This window comes from Homo sapiens, chromosome 4, assembly GCF_000001405.40.
Source record: "Homo sapiens chromosome 4, GRCh38.p14 Primary Assembly".
In the NCBI taxonomy this organism is placed as follows: domain Eukaryota; kingdom Metazoa; phylum Chordata; class Mammalia; order Primates; family Hominidae; genus Homo; species Homo sapiens.
In genome coordinates this window covers 104,419,746-104,443,703 of record NC_000004.12, presented here as the reverse complement: position 1 = coordinate 104,443,703, position 23,958 = coordinate 104,419,746, and the positions used below count along the sequence as shown (strand labels likewise).

Below are 23,958 nucleotides of genomic sequence, written 5' to 3'. Positions count from 1 at the left end.
CAGACCTAAAGGACAGTTTCTCCTCTTGCTAGACATCTGGTAGACTAAAGTACACATTTGAACAATATTCTCTCAATTATCTGCTGAATAAAGTAAGTTTGTTTCCTACATATAAATGCATGAACATTTCACAGATTTTAATTGATTTGTACCTAGTAAATCTATCACATAAAGAAGCACTAAGTCATGAAAGCATCTATTTAAATTGCTCTCATTTTTTGGAGAATGCTAGGTAAGAAGTTATTTTAGCCATGTGACCTCATCAATATGGATTTCTTCATAATTTATTGCAAGATTGTCCTATATTTTATTTATATTCCTAGGAAAAGGAGAATTCTGAGAATGCTAATAGTGTGAGCTTTCAGGAAATTTACTAAGTCAGATTTTTAAAATTATTATATTTTAAGTTCTAAGGTTCTAAGTAAGAATTTTTTTAAAAGGCTCTGATAAATTTTGCAAAAATAATTAAGACAGTTTATACCAATTAAACTACTAGCAGTTTGTGTCTCTTCAACACATTCTCATCTCAATAATGACTTTTATTATTGAATTATTCACTAACTTTATAAAAAGATAATATTTTGTAGCTATTTTAATTGTCATTTGCCTGGTTACTTGAATTATTAAAGTCTTTCCCATAATTTTACTTTTTTAGTTTTCAGTTTGTTAGATAACTATTCATATCTTTGCTCTTTTTTCCTTAACAATTTTTAAAACTAACAATACTTTATATATACATAGACTTCTACAGTTGCTGTTTCTCAGGGTTTTGTTGTTGTTGTTGTTATAGTTTTCACAGTCAGGTAACCTATGTGGAAACTTTCAGTAAACTAGAAAAAGTACCTTCTCTGAGCAGATGCAAACTTACGGCTCAATAAGCCAAAGGAAACTTTAGAAAGAAAAATGTCCATTTTCTTAATCCAGTCTATCATTGTTGGACATTTGGGTTGGTTCCAAGTCTTTGCTATTGTGAATAGTGCCGCAATAAACATACGTGTGTATGTGTCTTTATAGCAGCATGATTTATAGTCCTTTGGGTATATACCCAGTAATGGGATGGCTGGGTCAAATGGTATTTCTAGTTCTAGATCCCTGAGGAATCACCACACTGACTTCCACAATGGTTGAACTAGTTTACAGTCCCACCAACAGTGTCAAAGTGTTCCTATTTCTCCACATCCTCTCCAGCACCTGTTGTTTCCTGACTTTTTAATGATTGCCATTCTAACTGGTGTGAGATGGTATCTCATTGTGGTTTTGATTTGCATTTCTCTGATGGCCAGTGATGGTGAGCATTTTTTCATGTGTTTTTTGGCTGCATAAATGTCTTCTTTTGAGAAGTGTCTGTTCATGTCCTTCGCCCACTTTTTGATGAGGTTGTTTGTTTTTTTCTTGTAAATTTGTTTGAGTTCATTGTAGATTCTGGATATTAGCCCTTTGTCAGATGAGTAGGTTGCAAAAATTTTCTCCCATTTTGTAGGTTGCCTGTTCACTCTGATGGTAGTTTCTTTTGCTGTGCAGAAGCTCTTTAGTTTAATTAGATCCCATTTGTCAATTTTGGCTTTTGTTGCCATTGCTTTTGGTGTTTTTGACATGAAGTCCTTGCCCAGGCCGATGTCCTGAATGGTAATGCCTAGGTTTTCTTCTAGGGTTTTTATGGTTTTAGGTCTAACATGTAAGTCTTTAATCCATCTTGAATTAATTTTTGTATAAGGTGTAAGGAAGGGATCCAGTTTCAGCTTTCTACATATGGCTAGCCAGTTTTCCCAGCACCATTTATGAAATAGGGAATCCTTTCCCCATTGCTTGTTTTTCTCAGGTTTGTCAAAGATCAGATAGTTGTAGATATGTGGCATTATTTCTGAGGGCTCTGTTCTGTTCCATTGATCTATATCTCTGTTTTGGTACCAGTACCATGCTGTTTTGGTTACTGTAGCCTTGTAGTATAGTTTGAAGTCAGGTAGTGTGATGCCTCCAGCTTTGTTCTTTTGGCTTAGGATTGACTTGGCAATGTGGGCTCTCTTTTGGTTCCATATGAACTTTAAAGTAGTTTTTTCCAATTCTGTGAAGAAAGTCATTGGTAGCTTGATGAGGATGGCATTGAATCTATAAATTACCTTGGGCAGTATGGCCATTTTCACGATATTGATTCTTCCTACCCATGAGCATGGAATGTTCTTCCATTTGTTTGTATCCTCTTTTATTTCATTGAGCAGTGGTTTGTAGTTCTCCTTGAAGAGGTCCTTCACATCCCTTGTAAGCTGGATTCCTAGATATTTTATTCTCTTTGAAGCAATTGTGATGGGATTTCACTCATGATTCAGCTCTCTGTTTGTCTGTTATTGGCGTATAAGAATGCTTGTAATTTTTGCACATTGATTGTGTATCCTGAGACTTTGCTGAAGTTGCTTATCAGCTTAAGGAGATTTTGGGCTGAGATAATGGGGTTTTCTAGATATACAATCATGTCATCTGCAAACAGCAACAATTTGACTTCCTCTTTTCCTAATTGAATACCCTTTATTTCCTTCTCCTGCCTAATTGCCCTGGCCAGAACTTCCAACACTATGTTGAATAGGAGTGGTGAGAGAGGGCATCCCTGTCTTGTGCCAGTTTTCAAAGGGAATGCTTCCAGTTTTTGCCCATTCAGTATGATATTGGCTGTGGGTTTGTCATAGATCGCTCTTATTATTTTGAGATACATCCCATCAATACCTAATTTATTGAGAGTTTTTAGCATGAAGCATTGTTGAACTTTGTCAAAGGCCTTTTCTGCATCTATTGAGATAATCGTGTGGTTTTTTGTCTTTGGTTCTGTTTATATGCTGGATTACATTGATTGATTTGCATATATTGAACCAGCCTTGCATCCCAGGGATGAAGCCCACTTGATCATGGTGGATAAGCTTTTTGATGTGCTGCTGGATTTGGTTTGCCAGTATTTTATTGAGGATTTTTGCATCAATGTTCATCAAGGATATTGGTCTAAAATTCTCTCTTTTGGTTGTGTCTCTGCCAGGCTTTGGTGTCAGGATGATGCTGGCCTCATAAAATGAGTTAGGGAGGATTCCCTCTTTTTCTATTGATTGGAATAATTTCAGAAGGAATGGTACCAGTTCCTCCTTGTACTTCTGGTAGAATTTGGCTGTGAATCCATCTGGTCCTGTACTCTTTTTGGTTGGTAAGCTATTGATTATTGCCACAATTTCAGAGCCTGTTATTGGTCTATTCAGAGAGTCAACTTATTCCTGGTTTAGTCTTGGGAGGGTGTATGTGTCGAGGAATTTATCCATTTCTTCTAGACTTTCTAGTTTATTTGCGTAGAGGTGTTTGTAGTATTCTCTGATGGTAGTTTGTATTTCTGTGGGATCGGTGGTGATATCCCCTTTATCATTTTTTATTGCGTCTACTTGATTCTTCTGTCTTTTCTTCTTTATTAGTCTTGCTAGTGGTCTATCAATTTTGTTGATCCTTTCAAAAAACCAGCTCCTGGATTCATTAATTTTTTGAAGGGTTTTTTGTGTCTCTATTTCCTTCAGTTCTGCTCTGATTTTAGTTATTTCTTGCCTTCTGCTAGCTTTTGAATGTGTTTGTTCTTGCTTTTGTAGTTCTTTTAATTGTGATGTTAGGGTGTCAATTTTGGATCTTTCCTGCTTTCTCTTGTGGGCCTTGTTTGCTATAAATTTCCCTCTAGACACTGCTTTGAATGTGTCCCAGAGATTCTGGTATATTGTGTCTTTGTTCTCATTGGTTTCAAAGAACATCTTTATTTCTGCCTTCATTTTGTTATGTACCCAGTAGTCATTCAGAAGCAGGTTGTTCAGTTTCCACGTAGTTGAGCGGTTTTGAGTGAGTTTCTTAATCCTGAGTTCTAGTTTGATTGCACTGTGGTCTGAGAGACAGTTTGTTAGAATTTCTGCTCTTTTACATTTGCTGAGGAGAGCTTTACTTCCAACTATGTGGTCAATTTTAGAATAGGTGTGGTGTGGTGCTGAAAAAAATGTATATTCTGTTGATTTGGGGTGGAGAGTTCTGTAGATGTCTATTAGGTCTGCTTGGTACAGAGCTGAGTTCAATTCCTGGGTATCCTTGTTAACTTTCTGTCTCATCGATCTGTCTAATGTTGACAGTGGGGTGTTAAAGTGTCCCATTATTATTGTGTGGGAGTCTAAGTCTCTTTGTAGGTCACTCAGGACTTGCTTTATGAATCTGGGTGCTCCTGTATTGGGTGCATATATATTTAGGATGGGGGAAGGGATAGCTTTAGGAGATATACCTAATGCTAAATGATGAGTTAATGGGTGCAGCACACCAGCATGGCACATGTATACATATGTAACTAACCTGCACATTGTGCACATGTACCCTAAAACTTAAAGTATAATAATAATAAAGTTTAAAAAAAGAAAGAAAAATATCATAGCTCCTCCTGATAGATGGCCCCAACTCCAGCACTTATAATTTGGTCACTGAAGAACAGACTGAGCTTTAAGCCTACTTTTTCTCTTGTATGGGTGCCTTTTTACAACACAAAAGCTGCCTATCTGCTTATGGTTGCCCTGCTCAAACAATCCTGAGGATTAAAAATGGTTGGCATTTTATAACTCAAATTCAGGGAAGTATCTTACTATGGCCAAACAGCTAGTAAGAAAGCTAAACATCAGTAAAGATCTTCCAATCTCGAGTCCAGTGATTTTTCCATGAAGTTTACCACCTCCAATTATGGTTCATCAGATTGGGTCAAGCCTGTTACAAAAAATCCATGATTTAATAGGCTGCACAGTTATGATACAAAAATAACAATAAGACCTTTACATTTCTTATTAAGATACTTATTCATACTTTACCAATTTTATTTTGCACAACAATTAGAGTAATAATTTTGTGGCCTACAGTAATATTTGCTTATAACTGTCAAGTGTAAAACTTCTCAAAGAAGTGGAATATACCCAGAAGGCTGTAGTGCTCTCTCTCTCTCTCTCTTTTGTAATTGACAGATAAAATTGTAGGTATTTATTGTGTATAACAGGATGTTTTGAAGTATACATACATTATGGAAAGACTAAATCTAACTAATTAACATAGTTATTTTTGTGGTAAGAACATTTGTATCCTTTCTCTTAGCATTTTTCAAGAAATATTATATTGTTATTAGCTATAGTCATAATGTTGTACAATAGTTTTGTTTTTTTTACTTCTCTTATCAAACTGACATTTTGTATCCTTTGGCCAACATCTCCCAGGTCTCCATCCCCCCAACCACTTCAGTCCCTGGTAACCACCTTTCTACTCTCTACTTCCATGGAGATCAGCTTTATAAGAATCCAAATGAGTGATATCACGTGGTATTTGTCTTTCTGCTCCTGGATTATTTTACTTAACTTAGTGTCTTCCAAGTCCATCTATCGTGTCACAAATGACAGAATTTCCTTCTTTTTATGGCTGACTAGTATTCTCTCTCTCTCTCTCTATGTGTGTGTGTGTATATATATATGTATATATATATACACACACACACATATATTTATCTATATCACATTTTCCATATTCATCCATCCGTTGATGGACACTTACATTGATTCCATATCTTGGCTATTGTGGTATAGCCACATCATGCTGCAGTAAACAAGGGAGTGCACATATCTCTTTGAAATATTGATTTCATTTTCTTTGGACACATACCCAGTAGAGGGATTCTTGGATCATATGGTAATTATATATAGATATTGTTTTTGAAGGAATCTCCATACTGTTTACCATAATGACTTGATGTATTTATATTCCCACCAATAATTTGCAATGGTTTCCCTTTTTCCAGATCCTTGCCAACGCTTGTTATCTTCTATTTTTTTGATAATAACAAGTGTGAAGTGATATCTCACTGTGGTTTTAATTTGCATTTTTCTGATGATTAGTGACGGTGAGCATTTTTTTCATATACCTGTTGGCAATTTGTATGTCTTCTTTTGAGTATTGTCAATTCAAGTTTGTTGCTTTTTTTTTTCTTTCTTTTTATATGGGGTGTTTCTCTCTGTCACCCCAGCTGGAGTGCATTGGCACAATCTCCACTCACTACAACCTCCATCTATGAGGCTCAAGCAATCCTCCCAACTCAGCCTCCCGAGTAGCTGGGATTATGCCTGGCTATTTTTTGTATTTTTTTTTGTAGAGACAGGATTTCACCATGTTGCCCAGGCTGGTCTCTAACTCCTGAGTTCAGGCAATCCTCCTGCCTCAGCCTCCCAGAGTCCTGGGACTACAGGGGTGAGTCACTGTGCCTGGCTCTTGCCTGTTTTTAAATCAGGTTATTTATTTTCTTGCTATTGAGTTGTTTGAATTTCTTATGTCTTTTGGATATTTCTTATGTATTTTGGATATTTACTCCAAAGATGTATATTTTGCAATGATCTTTTTACTAGGTTTTCAGTCTATTTCTTAATAGCTTGTAAACATATTAAAATATAATATTAATGTTTTAGGTTTTTGGCAAATGTTTGCCCAATTGTTTTTAATTTGATTTTATGTTTTTGACACCTGATTTAATTTATATGCCATTAGTCAAATGTTATAACAATTGTGCATATAGAAATTCAGACAGGTTAAATAACCTGTACTGGGTCTCACAAAGCAAAGATTTTGATGCTTATCTTTTTGGCCCACACAAAGTCTGGTGATAAGAAAATTTTAATATGATATATTTAAGAAGGGGATAAAGCATAATAAAGAAAGGCCAAGTTTGGGAAGTATAAGAACAATTATAGAAGGAGTTGCAGAAAATGAATCTATAGAACAAAAAACAGTGATGAGTTGACAATTACTCCAAGATTTCCTGTGTGGCTGGCTGCTGATATAGTGGCACTACCTAGTGTGACAAAGAAACCAGGCACAGAGTTCTGTCACTGCGAGATGATAAGCTGAATTGTCTTCTCCACATTTCATTTCTGTTAGTGACAGTACATACAGTTTGAAATGCCGTGTACAGAAAACTCTTGCCAAGTTGGATGGAGAGGCCAAGTTCACAGTTAGACAAGTAGATTTGGACAGGTTTTCTGTACACAGATGGAACCAAATGACATGCCCAGTGTTTGGTGTATGGCAAGAAGAGCAGGGCATCTATTAACTTCCAGAGAAATCTGTATGGAAGCAATTTAAGAAGGAAGAGGAAAATCAGGGAAGGTATAAAGTTTTGAGTATAACAAAATATATAGATTCCTAGAGAATCTTTCATTCCATAAAATACAGGAAAATAACAAAGTATATATGAGAACAGATCTGGGACTGACCACATGAAATTTTCATATTTTCATGAAACATTGAAAATTTATAATTGATGGACTAATACAAATCAGTAATAACTCCAATGAAAATATGAACAGTTTTAAAAATGTGTTAAGCTCATTATTCATAAAGGGCTATATGAGTAAATACAGGGTATTTTCCCATAAAAAGTCAGTAATGGAACGTTTATGGAAGGATTTCAACAAAAAGTTGAGATTGCTGAGTTATAGAGATAAAGAGAAAATGTATATCCAGTAGGCAGACCCTGCAATACTGATTTCATGACAGAGCACGTGGCCAGACTAAGCTAAGAGCTGGAGCATGGGGTGAATGAGCAGCGTGCATAGTACTATACCACTCTGTCACTTGCAAACTGGACTCAGCTGCGTGAGAATTTGGAGGAATAATATAGTATAATGCTGGGGGAAAAACTGTATGAACCAATGCAACTTCCATGTTATACTGACATGGTTTCCTTATTTATACATCATGATTAAGGTAATTTGCCCATTGAACTGGAGCAAACTATTTCAGAATTCAACATCAAAGAAGGTTCACTTTCTAATACAAATTAGTCCTCCCACCCTGATACTCTTTTATTTGCTATCTAATTTTTCTTTTTGGCATTTATCACAATTTTTATCTTTTTCCCACTCACACTAATTTGTATGAGGGCAGAAACTTTGATTATTTTGTTCACCGCTATATCTAATTTGTCTGTCATAGTGGCTGGCATGTAATAAGTATCAATAAATATTTGTGAATTGAATAAATACAAGCAGTTTATTGATTCAAAGATATTATAGGCAGTTTATTGATGATTTACTGATTTAAATATAAATGCTTCCTGTGTACCAGTTCCTGTGTAAGCTGCTAAATATACAACAGTGATCATGTCATAGGCTCACTTTTTAAGAAGCTTGCTAGATTTAGTAGGATAGACAGATCAATAGGAAAATATAATGCAGTGAGTGTGTGATAAATGCTTAAATAAGGTAAGTCCAAGGTGTTTAAATCACATAAAAGGATCACAGGTATGGCTTTAGGGAAGGGTTAGGCTGGTCAAGGATAATTTGCAGAAGTGAAGTTTAATCCAAAATCTAGCAGATGATCAGGAGTGAGAAAAATAAAACTAACATAAAGGCCAGAGGACTCTAGACAGTCAACATCATGTGCCAAACCTGGAACTGAGTGAATACCTGAAATATTTTAGAAAAAGTACGTGGCTTGGGTAAGGATCAAATACAAACTAAGAGGATGTCAATTGCTGTTAAAGATAAATCACAAATTCTATTCCACTGCCAGTGTTCCTGGTGAGGCGGCTTCCCATATAATAATTCAGGGATCTAGCCTTCCTTTGTCTTACATCTCTCTCCTTTTCTGGGTCCTTAAAGGCCTCCCTTTTTAACTGGAAGATAGAAAAAGATACCGTGGGAAAGACACACCCATTTCTCAACCATTCTGATGTAGAAGTGACATGTATCATTCCTGCTTAAATCCCATTTGTCAGAATTTTGTCATATGAACACTCCAAATGGTAAGAGATGCTGGAAAATGATGTCTTGCTAAGTGAACAGTTGAAAAATAAATGGATTTTAACAAACATTTAGTAGGCTAAGCTATACATATGTAGAAGTAGTAGAATTAAAAATGATCAGGTTGGAGGGTCAAACTATGACAAATTTATGGACAGTTTACTCTAAGTTTAAACTTTATCCTGAAGAAAATAGAGTATTAGAGTACAATTTTGAGTTGAGATGTGGCAATATCATATATGGACTTTCAGTAGACAACTTTGCATGTACATGTTAAAATTAGAACAGAGACAAGCTTAGAGCTGGGGAATAATTCAGACTCTAGACAGTGGTGCTCTAGACGTAGGCAGTGGTAGTGCAATTAGTTTCAGAACTGATAAAGAGGCATTATAAATAAGACTTTTCTAGGTGTGTGGGGACAATGGGGAAGAGGAGTTACTAACTTCCAGCTTGAGTCAACTGGACAGACAATGATGATGGTATTTGTTGAGATAAGGAACAAATAGAGGTAGACTGAGGGGTTGAGTTATAGGTAATGAATTGAAGGATAAACTTTTTGATGGTTGTAGTATTTTGCATTCCTCAATTTCTAGTCCTTGTGTTGAGTGCAATAAAGAGCTCAATAAATTCATATTAATTACTAATCTAGGTGGAGTGATTCTCTTATACTTGATTGGTTATTTAGAATAAAAATTTTGATGGAGTGAAAAGGAAAATGGTATTAGAGAGTATGTAGAAAAGGTTTACCAAAGAGAAGTTAATACACATGATACAGAATTTTGGTTAAAACCTACCACTTCCATTTTATAGTTTTTTTTAAATATCCAATATTTTAATACAGCTCATAATCATAGAAATGGAGCTTAGAAGTATCTGTTACATCTTTTTGGAGACCAGTTTGGATTCTTCCCTATAATATGTTTCCAGCATTTTTCATAGTTATATTAAACACTGGATATACTATTCTCACAGATGTGTCAGAAAATTACTTCTTGATGTTGAGTTTAACTAATGAAACAAAAAGACTCTATAAACTATAGAGATTAATCACAAGTGAAAATGTGTCTTCTTTTGAGAAGTGTCTGATCGTGTCCTTTGCCCACTTTTTAATGGGGTTATTTTTTTTTTCTTGCAAACTTGTTTAAGTTCCTTGTAGATTCTGGATATTAGACCTTTGTCAGATAGATAGATCACAAACATTTTCTCCCATTCTGTAGGTTGTCTGTTCAATCTGATGCAGCCATAAAAAGAAACAAGATCATATCCTTTCCAGGGACATGGATGGAGCTGGAAGCCATTATCCTCAGCAAACTAACACAGAAACAGAACACCAAAAACTGCATGTACTCACTTATAAGTGGGAGCTGAACAAGGAGAACACATGGACACAGGGAGAGGAACAATACACACTGGGGCCTGTCAGAGGATGGAAGGAGGGAGAGCATCAGGATAAATAGCTAATGCATGTGGGGCTTAATACCTAGGTGATGGGTTGATAGGTGCAGCAAACCACTATGGCACATGTTTATTTATGTAACAAATCTGCATGTCCTGCACATGCATCCCAGAACTTAAAATAAAATGGAATAAAAATGTCTACCAAGGTTAGGTTTACCCAACAGAAGTCATCTTGAAGACTGAACAGTTATCTGGTAAATTTATGTAGGTAAATAGCCAATTTGGATAATGTTTACTTGCTGCTGCCAATCTCATTTTATTTGGTACAAAGCTAGTCCAGAGTAGCTAGTTAATTAAACTTATTTTTTTGCCTGAATCATCCTGGTTAATGATACATATACTAAAGGTCATTCCTAGAGAATTAATCCACTTTCTGTTTAACTTTGTCTACCGTACATTTATGTGAAGACTCATGGGCTCATTAACAGAGGTAAGAGAAAAAGAAATGATTAGAAATCTTGGTTAGTAAACTCAATTGCATTAGTTGTACATGGGTATTTGGTGGAGCATTTGGCACTTGGCAACTGGTTTCCAGGTCTCATATTGGTTTACTTGCCTTCTCTTTAGCTCACACAGCTCTTTGTGAAGTTAATGAGGTAGTGTGTATAAAGCTCTCTGAACCAAAATGGGAAAGGGATTATCTAGCTACAAGGAGATATGATAGACGGGCCAAGCATGATAAATGAGAGTTTGCTGGAAGGATCTTGACTGGATTCATCTTAATATTTTAACTGCTATCAAACTTATTATCTGTATGGAATAAAGAATATAGGAGCAATGGGTTGTTCCACACTTTGTAAGCAACTCATTTCCTCCAGGATGTGTTTTAGAGGCAGACTGGAAAGATGATAAAAAATAAGATTTTTTCCCTCCTTTTAAAAAAGAGAGCTGTACCATTTTCAGTCCTCTTTTGCAGCATAGTTGCTGTTGTCTTGTTCATCCTATAAAAATGTTGAAGCCCAAGCTGCAAATCTAAATGACTGTTTTGTTTGGTGATAATTGTGATTGGATGTGTACCACTCACACCAAATCCTATATCCTATTTTTGTGAGTAAAGGCACTGAAGTTCCTATCACTCTACCCCACTTCCCTGATTATATTAATATTTATATACAGCTTTATTTGATGAGGGTTTATTTTTATATAACATTAAAAGAAGAGCTGATCACATCATAATTTTCAAGACTGGACAACACTTGTGTGACTTACAGATAAAAAGAATAGTGTAACTGTTTTTCTCTGCTATATTTTAAGCACATGGGAAGGAATCTCTAATTGCACAATAACTTAGAGGCAAAGGGGGAAGGGCAGAAGAAGAGTTTATGTCCATTTCAAATGGCCTTATATTTGACAGTGATCCTTAGGAGATTTGTGTCAGAAATTTCAACTGCATATGCTCTATAGAAGTTCAACATTCAGCAATGGGAACATGTTTTACAGTAATTTTTTAAGCTCTCCTGAGCTACACTCACTGGCCTGAGTGCATTGCAGAAATGAATCGTAATACCCTGATTCTGCATATATTTCATCATTTTAAACAAATATTTAATAATTACACTTTATGTGTAGAGGCTTGCATAGGCTGAGGAGATATATTTTCTCCCTGTCTTCACATGAATTATAGTCCAGTTGGTGAAGCAAAATGTTGAAAGAACATTAAATGTTAAATGAAAATACAAATTACTATATTCTAAAGACTGAATTACATGGTTTGGCTATGTCTTCACCCAAATCTCATCTCGAATTGTAGTTCCCACAATCCCCACGTGTTGTGGGAGGGACCTGGTGGGAGGTAATTTAATCATAGGGGTGGTTACCCTCATGCTGTTCTCATGACAGTGAGTGAGTTCTTATGAGATCTGATTGTTTTATAAGGAGCTTTTCCCCCTTTTGCTTCACACTTCTCCATCCTGCCGCCCTGTGAAGAAGGATATGTTTGCTTCCCCTTCTACCAGGATTGTAAGTTTCCTGAGGCCTCCCCAGTCCTGTGGAACTGAGAGTCAGTTAAACCTCTTTCCTTTTTAAATTACCCAGTCTTGGGTATGTCTTTATTAGCAGCATGAGAACAGACTAATACACTGAATCTGTGTCAATGTATGGCAAATAACTATCTTCTGTTCCATTCTGAGTGATAAGTAATGGTGGTTTATATTAAGAAGGATCATGAAAGTAAATTTGGGTTCAGTAAGTAAACACCTTAATTAGCTTTTGATATCTGCCGATGGTGAGGGAGAGCTAGGTAGAGAGCCCTATCTATAATATTTTACCGTGTCTGAAAGTTAATGTATTTTATTTTATTAATTCAACAAATATTGAGTACTACATTTTATAAAGGTGCTTGTGAGTAAAATATACACCATAATTACTTTCATGAATTTGCCATCCTTTATTATCTTTTGGGTGTTTTTATTTAAAACATGGACCTGCGTTTGAATGTTAGTAAATGGTGCTCTCGAATCCAATTTAACATTTTTCAACATTCCCCGCCCCTAACACACACACACACACAGGAAGAGAGAGAAAGAGAGAGAGGATGGAAATACTACAAAGGCAACTGGAGTAGACATAGGCGTGGATATCCAGAGTTGTTTCTGGAGTAGAATAAGGAACATTGAAGATCAACATTCAGCAATAGGAACATGTTTTACAGTAATTTTTAAATTTATATGGTTTGGCTTTGATAAAGGAATTTGATAAACAAAATGACTTGATTGAAGGCGAAAAGGCAGAAAAATGTGAATAATGTACAGAGACCAATGAATTGAAGCAGAGAATTTATCTAAATAAATCTTGAAAGATATGATTGGAATATTAGTTATATTCTTGACATTAGAAGTCCTTGAATTCTAGGCCAACTAGTCATTTATTGCTTATCTTGTGTACTGTGAAGAAATATTGAAATTATTTGAGCAAAGGAGTGATGTGGGCAAAGCCAGATTCTTTATCTTATCAGATCTATAATGGCAGATGGAGCATCCTAAATGCTATAGATAAATATATTTTATTAACTGCTTATTATGAGACTTTGCATTTCAATGCTTTTGTCACATGCAGTTGTTAAGTTTTAGTAAACTAAATATTGCCTGGATATACATACATCTCTGTTATAATGAACTGTATTAAAAATTAAGATTCACTATAGTGAAATACTGTTATTGCTATGAACCTTTTGATATCTGTTATAATTTAAGATTATTTTTCAAATGTGCTATTTTTAATTTTTAATTTTTGTGAGTATAGAAATGTTCTAATGTTTCTTGAAACCCTAGGATTGTGTATAAGTGCTTCATTCAGGAAAATTCCTAATATTCAGTTAGAATTTTATGACTCTTGACTGAAAGTGGCAATTGGAATCACTATATAAAAGTGTTTTCATTTATCATAACAGATTTATTTATTCTCAATAACTCTGCAATAACTTGTAACTTGTATTATAATACCTTTGAACTTATATCTTAAGTATCTTCTTTTGTCACTTAATATATATTAGTGCTTCTTATTAAAATTTCATTTAAAAAAATATAGATTTTATTGCCAAAAATGTTTGGAAATCACTGGAGTTAAACATGTAATTCTATACAAGAGTTAGCAGTCCTTTCTCTTTTACATTTATCTATTTTATATACATCTATTGTTCACTCAACACGTTATCTGAAAAGCTACTAGCTGGCTATATATCTCCTGTCTCTTAGTGCTTTTCACACCCTTCTTCTCCTTTGTATCTCAGCAGGCTGAAAGCCTGAAAACTACTTTTCTAGTCTGCCTTGTCAGTTGGCTTCCTGTTAGGCTCCACCACTGGGTTACACCAGTAGGGGTCTGAAGACCAAGGAGGGTGGTGGGTGGAACTTGCTCCTTCCCAGTCCCAGCTTCGGAAGATGCTTTCCACCATGGCAGCCCCAGCAGGGGCTCCAACCTCCTGCTTAGGCAATGCTCTTCTAATAGCAGAAGCAGCAGCAGCATCTCCAGTGGGATTAGCACAAGTGTATTTATTTGGCTCTTTCCTGCTTAGCTGTGGTGCAGTTCCAACAGTGTCAGCATCGGTTGCACTGCCTCCACCAGCTCAAATAGTCAGTACAGGCTCTTGGCTTCAGCCCAAGTGTAGGAGCAGCTTCTTGAGCTCTGGGTAATCCACTTCATATTGTTTCACTGGCTGGCTCCCACTTTCTTTTTTTTAGCCCTACAGCTCTTCTAAGTCTTTTGTAATGAGTTCCTGACATTAAATTCCTCTCTCCTAGAAATACCTTGAATGGCTTTTTTTTTTTTTTAACTGGACATTGATTGCTTGACTAACCATATGTGAGTGCAAGACTGCATTGGGGCTATCATGGTGAGTCAAGCTGACTGAAAACCTGACTTCATGAAACTAGAGGATACATTGAACTTACTACTATGTAATACTTTAAATGTTATTTGCAGATCGTTCTCCTCTATTTGAATATAAACTCTGCGTGGGCATTGAAACTTACTAGCCTTTTATTTGCGGAGTCTGTTGCATAGGCTAAAACTTAAAGAGGCCCAATAAAATCTTTATATTTGAAGTAATGGTAAAAACCACAATTACTTTTGCACCAACTTAATAATTGTATCCATGGAAAATGTAAAACAAGATGATGGGTGTATTAGTTTGTTTTCACACTGCCAATAAAAATGTACCTGAGAGTGGAATTATTAAAAAAAATAGGTTTAATGGATTCACAGTTCCACATGGCTGGGGAGCCCTCACAATCATAGTGGAAGGTGAAAGGCATGTCTTACATGGCAGCAGGCAAAAGAGAGACCTTGTGCAGGGAAACTCCCCTTTATAAAACCATCAGATCTATTATATCTTATAAGACTTAATCACTACCATGAGAATAGCATGGGAAAGACCCACTCCATGATTCAATTATCTCCCACTGGGTTTCTCCCTCAACACGTGGGAATTATGGGAGTTACAATTCAAGATGAGATTTGGGTGGGGACACAGCCAAACCATATTAATGGGCTTGATGTCCTCAAGGAGTTTATAATTTCATAGGAGGAGACAACCCATTTACTTTATACTTCTCTTTCTTCTACACTTTCCTTCCTGTATTCATGATCTATTTAGTCAACTACTGTGTTCTTATATATATCTCACGTATTGACTTAAAGGGCAAAGAAATGAACAGAAAAGTAGAAAGTAAAGTAATTCAGATAGAAATAAGTAACAATGCATTTTAAATTTCTATTTAGGAAATTCTTATCTCATTGGAATGGCACAGGACTTGTGGAGCAAAGCCTTTTTCTTCTAAGTTTGCACAAAATGTCAAGATATGAACCTGGCCTTTTTATGTCAGCTCAGACTCTTTTGCTAGGTAATGGCTTGATGCTATGTTTTGAATTATCTCTAACCCTAGATATGAGCAGAAGTGATTGAATATGTTTCCCTTATTTGGCTGGATGGCAGAATTTGCATCAATGGTGTTGACTGTAAAATAAAGATTTTATTATCTTTGGCCACCAGGTTGGAGCATCTGTTCACAAAGGAAAAGTTCTCAGTTTTCTTAGTGAGATGGACAGATTCATGAGATTTCAATAGTTATTTCTCTTTGTGTTCAAACTATTATAGAAGTAATTGATATTTAATGAGGATAAGGATGTTTGTTATACAATATACTTCTTCAGGCATTCTGTGACAGATATAATTGTAGTGACTCTGTCAAAGAAAGAAATACCAAAAAAGATTATGCAAATTCATTAACAAGGCATTTTTGGATATTAAGCAAAAATAGCATATTAAGGATATTGAGCATAAATAGTATGTTTTTTGTCATTATAAACACCTTATGCCTATACTCATTTTTATTACACATATTGTATTCACAGCTGCTGTTTATTTTATTGTGTGTTTTGCTTGATTTGATCTTAGGCATCAATATCTTGATAAGAAGTCACCTTTAAAATGTATTCCTTTTTACTTTTCTTTACGTTTAGTAAAATTGCTTAGGAAGTTACTGTTATTCAGCCAATATAGAAGCAGATAGTTTAAGATTACTGTATAGGTGGGGTTTTATTATTCTCCCTTTTTAAATTTTATATTAAATAAGAGTACTCATTATATAATTCTATTATAATTCCCCTCACTAATGCTGAAGCTTATGGTCACTGCCTCACAAAGTCACACCTCTCTGGGAGATGCAGAAAACACATAGATGACTTTCACAAATCTCTAATTGAAGGGTTGAAAGAAGGGAGGATTTAGAGGAGAGGGACTTCCAGACAGATTAAACTGGTTGGCATTTCTCATGTGAGATCATGACTGTGTTATATACCCAGTTGAAAATTGAGTGGAGTGGCTTGTTTTCTCCATTCTGGATGACAGAGAAAAAAATAAACAAATCTAGTGGTACAATACTTTATAAACATTTACATTTTATTTACGAGTTTTGGTAATATTTTGAATTTAGTAATATTTTGAATTTTGGATTTTAGTAATATTTTGAATTTGGTAATATTTTGAATAAAGTTAATGCATAGAATTCCATATCTTTAACAAAGAACTCAAAGACAAGTTTGGTTTCTTGTGTGTTAAACTTTTTTAATTTTAATAATTCTGAAGTTCAGTTATAGATCACATAGAAATGTACCTATGAGATGGCATCTTTAAAACAGAACAAGTGTGAAAGAGAAACTGACTTAAAGGGAGTTTTCTTACATGATGTCTAGGAAATTTGTGTTAAGAGTAATATTCACAGTTTAGTAAGTTTTTTGAAAATCAGTAAATAAGTAGAAAAATGAGTATTCTTCAAAAGTGTGTATTTTTTCCCTCAACAATTATATTGCTATAACTATAAATAAAGACGGAGTAGATGGAGCTATTATTTAAAGGCAGCTTTTTAATGAACAGAGGGTTACTAGCCTTATGCTTTTTGGTGCTGCCTTTTTGATGTTTGCAGCTTAGGGCCCCATATCACCAATTGTAAGCTGTGGCCTCACATAAAATCCAGGGAAGGCCCGACAAGCAGTCAGGGCATTTCAGAGGGTTGTCAGGTGGATTGTGCTGTGCTAAGTGAGGTGTGCAAGAAAGAAAGAAAAGAAGAAAAACAAAAAAAAGTTATATGCCAGTTCTTCCACCTTTAGTAGGGTGACAACCTCACAAGGCAACAGAGCTAAAGATGACCAAACATGATCCTCTTGGGTGAGGGCTGTCTTCGTGCCACACCATGCAGGGATTTGAACCCAGCCTTGCTGCATGAAGGGCCAGATACATGCATGTGTGGGTCACAGACTACCTCCCTGTTCTCCATTGATACTAATAATGATACTACTACTACCAGTAATGATGAAGTACTTTTGCTACTTTTTTGGGGTGCTGCACCTCTGTGCATTGAGCCAGAACAGCTTCCTCTGAGCACTAACCTGCAAACAAAGAGGAAAACAAGGAGAATCCAGACTGATGCTGTGCTCCCTGTACACAGCTCAGACCAACGCCTCTTTGCACTGTGCTTGGGCTACTGAAGAAAGAAAGATATTCATCAGTTAGGGCGGGTAACATGGAACTTTAATGAACTACTTTCTTGCCCACTTTTATCTCCAAATAGCTGTACAGATACAAGTACAAATAAAGACATGGTACAATTGCTTGATGGGGATAAAATTAATTTGTACAGTTATCCAAAAAAAATCACTCATGCAATAATTTTAGTGTGAATAAATTATATGAAAAAGAGCCATGTGCAAATGTGTTCTCATCTAATATGGGGAAAATGACTTTGCTAACCACATATTATGAGTCCTTTTTCTCTGTTATTAAGATGACTCCTCCCCCCCACCACACACACAAACACTGTTTGATTTGAGAACTCTCAGCTTTCTAAATTTCATTTCTAATCTGATACCCCTTTCCAAATAACACATTATTAGACATAAAATGTAAAACCTTTCTTCAAACTCTAAGTAGAATTTAAAAATAACATTGCACTCCCAAAAGCTTTAAATCCCACCTTCTTTCTAATCAGCCTTCCAGAGTGACTATACAAGGTTACACAGACCTGACTGATTTATGAATATAATTTTTGTTTTAATTGAAACAGCAACATTTAGGTTCCACCTTAACAGTGCACCTTAAAAGATTATCTCGGTTATTTCACAGGCACCGAGCCGGCACTAATAGTCCAAGGCAGATATTGAAAAGCAGCACAGGGCCAGGCAGATCTATTAGAAATTCCCATCCACGCGCCTCATACATATTGATTTCTGACACCAAGCAGCAGTGAAAGCCCCCGTGGGAATAATATATTTAGCAGGGTTCGCTGCGAGGAGGTCACAGAGTGCATACAGATTAGCTTCAGAGGACCAAGGCACTAGTGTTGGAGCCAAATGCTAGATTTTATATCATTTTAATCTGAACTTTTATAATCCTTTTAGTTCTTCTTTCTCTGGATGGCAGAGAGAAGGCTCCTTCACATGTATCATGCATCTTTTTCTTTATTCCTCCTATAAATGTGCAAATGCCGTTGTAATGGGGAGGAATGTTCCTTCAGCATAAGCAGCAGAGCCCCGACCAGATTTGCTTTTATAAACGGTGGTCAATTCAGATGAAGACATCTTTATTTAAAGATTTCTTTCCATGGGGGAGGGAAAATCACAAATCCGTATCTCCAGTTTTAAGATAGAAACATAAAATCCGCTCTTGTTTAAGAACCATTCCTCCCCTCCCCCTCTCACTGACACTGCAGCTTAATTGAGCAGAAGTTGCATTTATACTGTTACGTCTATGAAAACAAAAATCTAAACATTTTTTTAATTACCTTTCTGATGGGTAGGGAATGCCTGCTCATTATGCAAAGAAGTGTTGTGACTGTATCAGATAAAGGTGTCAGATGAGAGTCAAACATGCATTTTGGAGACTGGAGAGATGCCAGCAGAGCGAAAGGAAAGGTTAGAGTGGACACACTTTGACAGAAGGGTGAAATTCGTTCAGACAACAAAGGCAAATAGGAGGTTTCTCTCAACAGACACAAAGGCGTATTGTCTTCCTCCAGACTGCATTTAAATTTTAGATATTCTATAAAAAGTTCCCATGATTACTAATAATCAGAAAAAAAAACTACATCTGTGAATTGGCTTTTAAACCTGACTTCTTTTCTCTGGCATCCCAAACAAGAATAAAAGGCTGCAAAATAAAAAAAAATAAATAAAAACAGTGTAGAGATAAGCAATCAAGATTTATTTTTGAAAATATAACAATAATTACAACAAAGAAAAGGCAAATTTCAGTGTTTTTAATTTAATTTTTTAAAATTTCTATCAATAAAGATTCATTTTACCAATAAGGAATAATTAAAGCATCTAATTAAGACCTGAAATTTTCCCTGTCAGATTATCTAACTAAAATATGTCCAACATTCAAATTAGTTTCTCAGGCCTGTCTCCAATGATATATGTTAACTTTTATTTTATTTTCTAGTATGCTCAATCTGAGCACAAGCCAATAAAAGAAAGCCACTAAGTTTGGAAAAGGAGAAAAAGAAGAAATAAAACCTCAAACTCAATTTTAAAAACTTGGGAAACTGTATGAAAATCTGCTTTTGGCAAATGCCCCTTGTCAGAAATGCTTGGCTATAGAGCTGCCTAAAAACTAGACTTAAGCATACACAGAGCTAGCCAAAATCATTTTACTTTCTATTTTGTTTTTTTTGTGGAATTGCAAGTATATTGAAAGTTAGAACAAACAATGGTTCTTCTTAGCAACTAGAGAAATTTTAAGGTTAAGAAGTACCTGGATGTTGAATAATCCAAGAACTTTTTATGGTGATCACTGTATTCTGAAGAGATTGCACCAAAACATTCAAATTAAAGAAAGCAAGTGCAGAAAACCTGGAGGAAAATATTAGAAACCATTATTTGATAATGAAGCAGTTACCTCCTTGAGGAAACCAAAGAAATGGGACTCTGCAGAAGTCAGAAGTTCCTGTCATTAGAAGAGTGTATGTATATGTGTGTGTTTACTCTCATGAACTAGGTTTAGTTCGGTATAATTAATCATGTTTGCAGGTAGTAATGATAGAGTACATGATGGATGATCAGTTAAAGAAAAGTCAAAGGTTAGAGCTTGAACCAGTAAAGATACCAGGGATTAACTCACGTGTTTGGTCAAATGTTTCCTACTTTTCCTTAATATTCCCAGGTGAGAGTCACCACTCCCTTATTTGGGAACTCGGCATGCGGTACCAACTCCTATAATAAATGACTATTAGAGCTAGGTGCATCGGTCATGCCTGTAATTTCAGCACTTTGGGAGGCCAAGGCAGGAGGATCACTTGAGGCCTAGACAACGGAGCAAGACCTCATCTGTACAAAAGAATATAAAAATATTAGCTGGGTGTGGTGGCACGTGCCTGTAGTTCTAGCTACTCAGGAGGCTGAGATTAGAATATCACTAGAGCCCAAGAGTTTAAGACTGCAGTCAAAGTAAACATGCCACTGCACTCCAGCCTAGGCCACAGAACGAGACCCTGTCTCAAAAAACAAAACAAAACAAAACAAAACAAAAAAAACCCAAAAGTAATAAATGACTACTAGGGCCTACACACCTCCTCATGCCCTTTGGCTGAGCAAGTTGTCTTCTGGTTTGCAAAGGAGAAGTGGGCATCTTATATCTAGGAGCCTGCTGTAAGCCTGGAATAAGCAGTGACCCACTAAAGACTGGGTGCAAATCTATCAGGAAAGCTAGAGAACTGTGTAGGAGAAAATCACTTTGTCACACACTGGGCAAAAAACCCTGCTCAACCTGTGGCAAGGAGACCTTGACTATAATATCAACCACCTTTCCCAGTTGTCACCACATTTCTTAATTTCCTTGTACATAGGTGTTAGTCAATAATATAGGCTGACTTGAATAAATTATATTAGATAGAAGTTAGACCTAGAAGACAAAGAACAAAAAATAATTGGCAAAAAGCAAACAAAAGAAAAACATAGCAAATCCTTATCCAGCAGCTCTGTCATCCAGGTGCCCAGCATTCTGCTTGACTGCTTTGTTCTAAACTGACCACGAATCTGTGTCAGATAGACAGTCTGAGACTGATGAAGCTGTTCATTTTAGCTTGAAAGGGGTGGGGACGGTGGTATTTTCCCTCTCAAAAACAAGCTCAGGAAAATACAGGGCAAGTAAATACAAATATTGATAGTTGATCCCTTTAATTTGACTGGAGTTCCAATGCCCAGTTATCAGTTAACAATGTACATTCAATTTTTCACCTGGAGCCTACACCGCATATCTCTATCATATAATCCCATCCAGCACCAACTCTGCTAGCTCTCTGGCTTGATGAAAGTATAAAAAGTTGAACATTATGGTTTATTTTTTCCACTTGCCACTACGAGCTTGTTTTAGTAGATGAACTGCTTTGGGGGTAGGGGCAGGAGTTAACTGTTAAATTCCGAGAAACAACTATAACAAAAGAATCACCTAAAATGACTAAAACTACAAACCTTCATGCATCCTCCCTCCACTAGATAAGTCAAACTTTCTCCTATTTTAAAGCCATCATTGTGTTGCGTTTGTTTTTATCAGGTCAATGTTTCATAAATGTTGCCGATACTCTGCCAGCAGGGGAGGGACCCAGGACAGTAGCAGGGGTTGGGAAGCTGCTTGGTTTCCTACAAGTATTTAACCTCTGGTCAGACCAGAGGTTTCATCCTGCTGTCCATCATTTGTAGTGCCTGTTGGTGACTCAGAAACTGTCCTTGGGCTGAGCTACAGCAGAATGTGGGTCTATGGAAAGCATTTCTCATGCAAAGAACATTCAGAGTTTTTCTTCACTGAATATAGTACATAAATAATCTTGGAAATCCTGCAGGAAGAGGCACCCTCATTTTAATTATTTATATGAAATCTTCACTGAAGTCAAAGGAGGCTGGATGGTGGAAGTTTTTTGGATACTTCTTTGAAAATGTAATCTCGGATTCCTACACAGTTGAGAAAGTATAAAAACAAAATAGGAATTAAGTGATGAAATTATTCCTGAAATTAATTTGGACTTCCAGCTTTCCTAGCTTTGTTAAACATTTCCTTTATCTCCGTGAAGAGCTTAAAAATAATGGGCAATATGTGTGAGGAAATAAAATGTAAAGGTATTATAAACCGAGAGCATAAACTATGTGTGTGTGGTCTACAATTCCAAATTCTGACAATGTCTACAGTGTAAGAGTAAGATTCGGAGAGAATATACAGATGCCTTTGTGAGCAGGAAACAGGGAAAAAGTCCCTTCAGTTGGGGGCAAAAACGTGCATTTACTTTCAGTAGAAGTAGACACACTTAAATCCCTGCTGAGCGCCAGGGAGGGGTTGGATGAGCTGTCTAGAAAGCATTTTCTCTCTCTTTATAATGTTAGAAATCCTCGGACTGCATTGTGCATTGCAATGCAAGGATTCTGCAGTGTAGGAGCACATCAGGGCATTGAGAAAGGTTTAATGTGTTCTCATTAGAGGAGGAAGGGAGGAAGGGGGGAAGGGGTGGGGGGAGGCGCCTTGGGGGATGGAACTGAGCTGGACCGCTCTGGGAAGCATTACAATTTTGTGCCTTCTCACTTCAACTCCCTCAATCCCCTAGCTTTACATAGCTCTTTCACAGACAGTTCAGTAAAATGCCTCCCAAGCCTGATGTAAAGAGAGCTGTGTTGTACATCGCTGCTTGCAGTTTAACAGTTTATTTGCTTGGGCCTTTTAAATTTTTTCTTCCTTCCTGAGCTGCTTCAAGGAACCTCTTTTTCACCTTCACTTCCAAACAGATGAAAATCAGAAAGGAAAAGAGGACAATCTGATCAATGAAAGAAAATCTAGACGCTTTTAGAGTTATTAAGCTCCACAGAACTGCCAGTGTGGAATCCTGGCTGAAGCAGCAGAGGGGGCTGGATAATTGAGATTTTTCATAGATGGTCTGATAACTATAATTTACCAGACTCATTTATTTCACTTCCCCCCTTCCCAAGTTTGCTTGTTTTCTAGGGGAAACCAAAAATAGGCTTTCTTTTTCTTAGAAAGCATTTGATATGTGATTTATGGATTTTAACTTGTAAAGGAAGATGTCCATTTGGAAAGGGGGCCCCTTAGCAATGGTTTAACTTGTAATGAGTGAAACCATGCACCCCAAAGTCAAGGAACAAGCTCCTTTAGATATGAAATTTTGAAAATAGCTGGTGACCCCTTGTGTTTATTCACTACTGTGCCTCCCAGACAGACCATCTGAATTTTGTGCTATAGACAGAGAGCTAGCTTTCTCACTCTTATAACATGGGTTTCCAAAACTAAACAAATAACCACAGAGAAATATAAAGTTCACTCCAAGCCTTTTCCTACTTCAATTTTGAAATTTTACTCTATTCAAAAAACTTCCTGCTGGAAATAATTATAAAAATACATATAGATAATAATAAATAACATGCATTCTAATATACACAACCACCAGACGAGCTAGGCCATGTTTTATGATTCTAGTTAAGCTGGGCCATTGGCTGTCCAACCTGGATATTTTGCTTTCATAACTTTCCAGGTATGACTCATAAGAATTACGCTTACTGTTTACAGTGAAATAATATTTTCCAGCATTTATTTATTGCAAAAAATTTGGCAAAAACTATCAGTCAACCAATATATAATGTTCAATATGCCTGAGATTTTCTTCTTGACTTACAGTTCCTCTAAAGTTCCAGTTTGAATAGA

The 23,958-nt window shown here is 36.2% G+C and overlaps 1 annotated feature.

Moving 5' to 3' along the window:
* Positions 17,966-19,286: an enhancer, noted in NCBI's record as "VISTA enhancer hs260". NCBI's record gives its function as "enhancer in: midbrain (mesencephalon)[6/8]" and the evidence as "EXISTENCE:transgenic organism evidence [ECO:0001131][PMID:17130149]".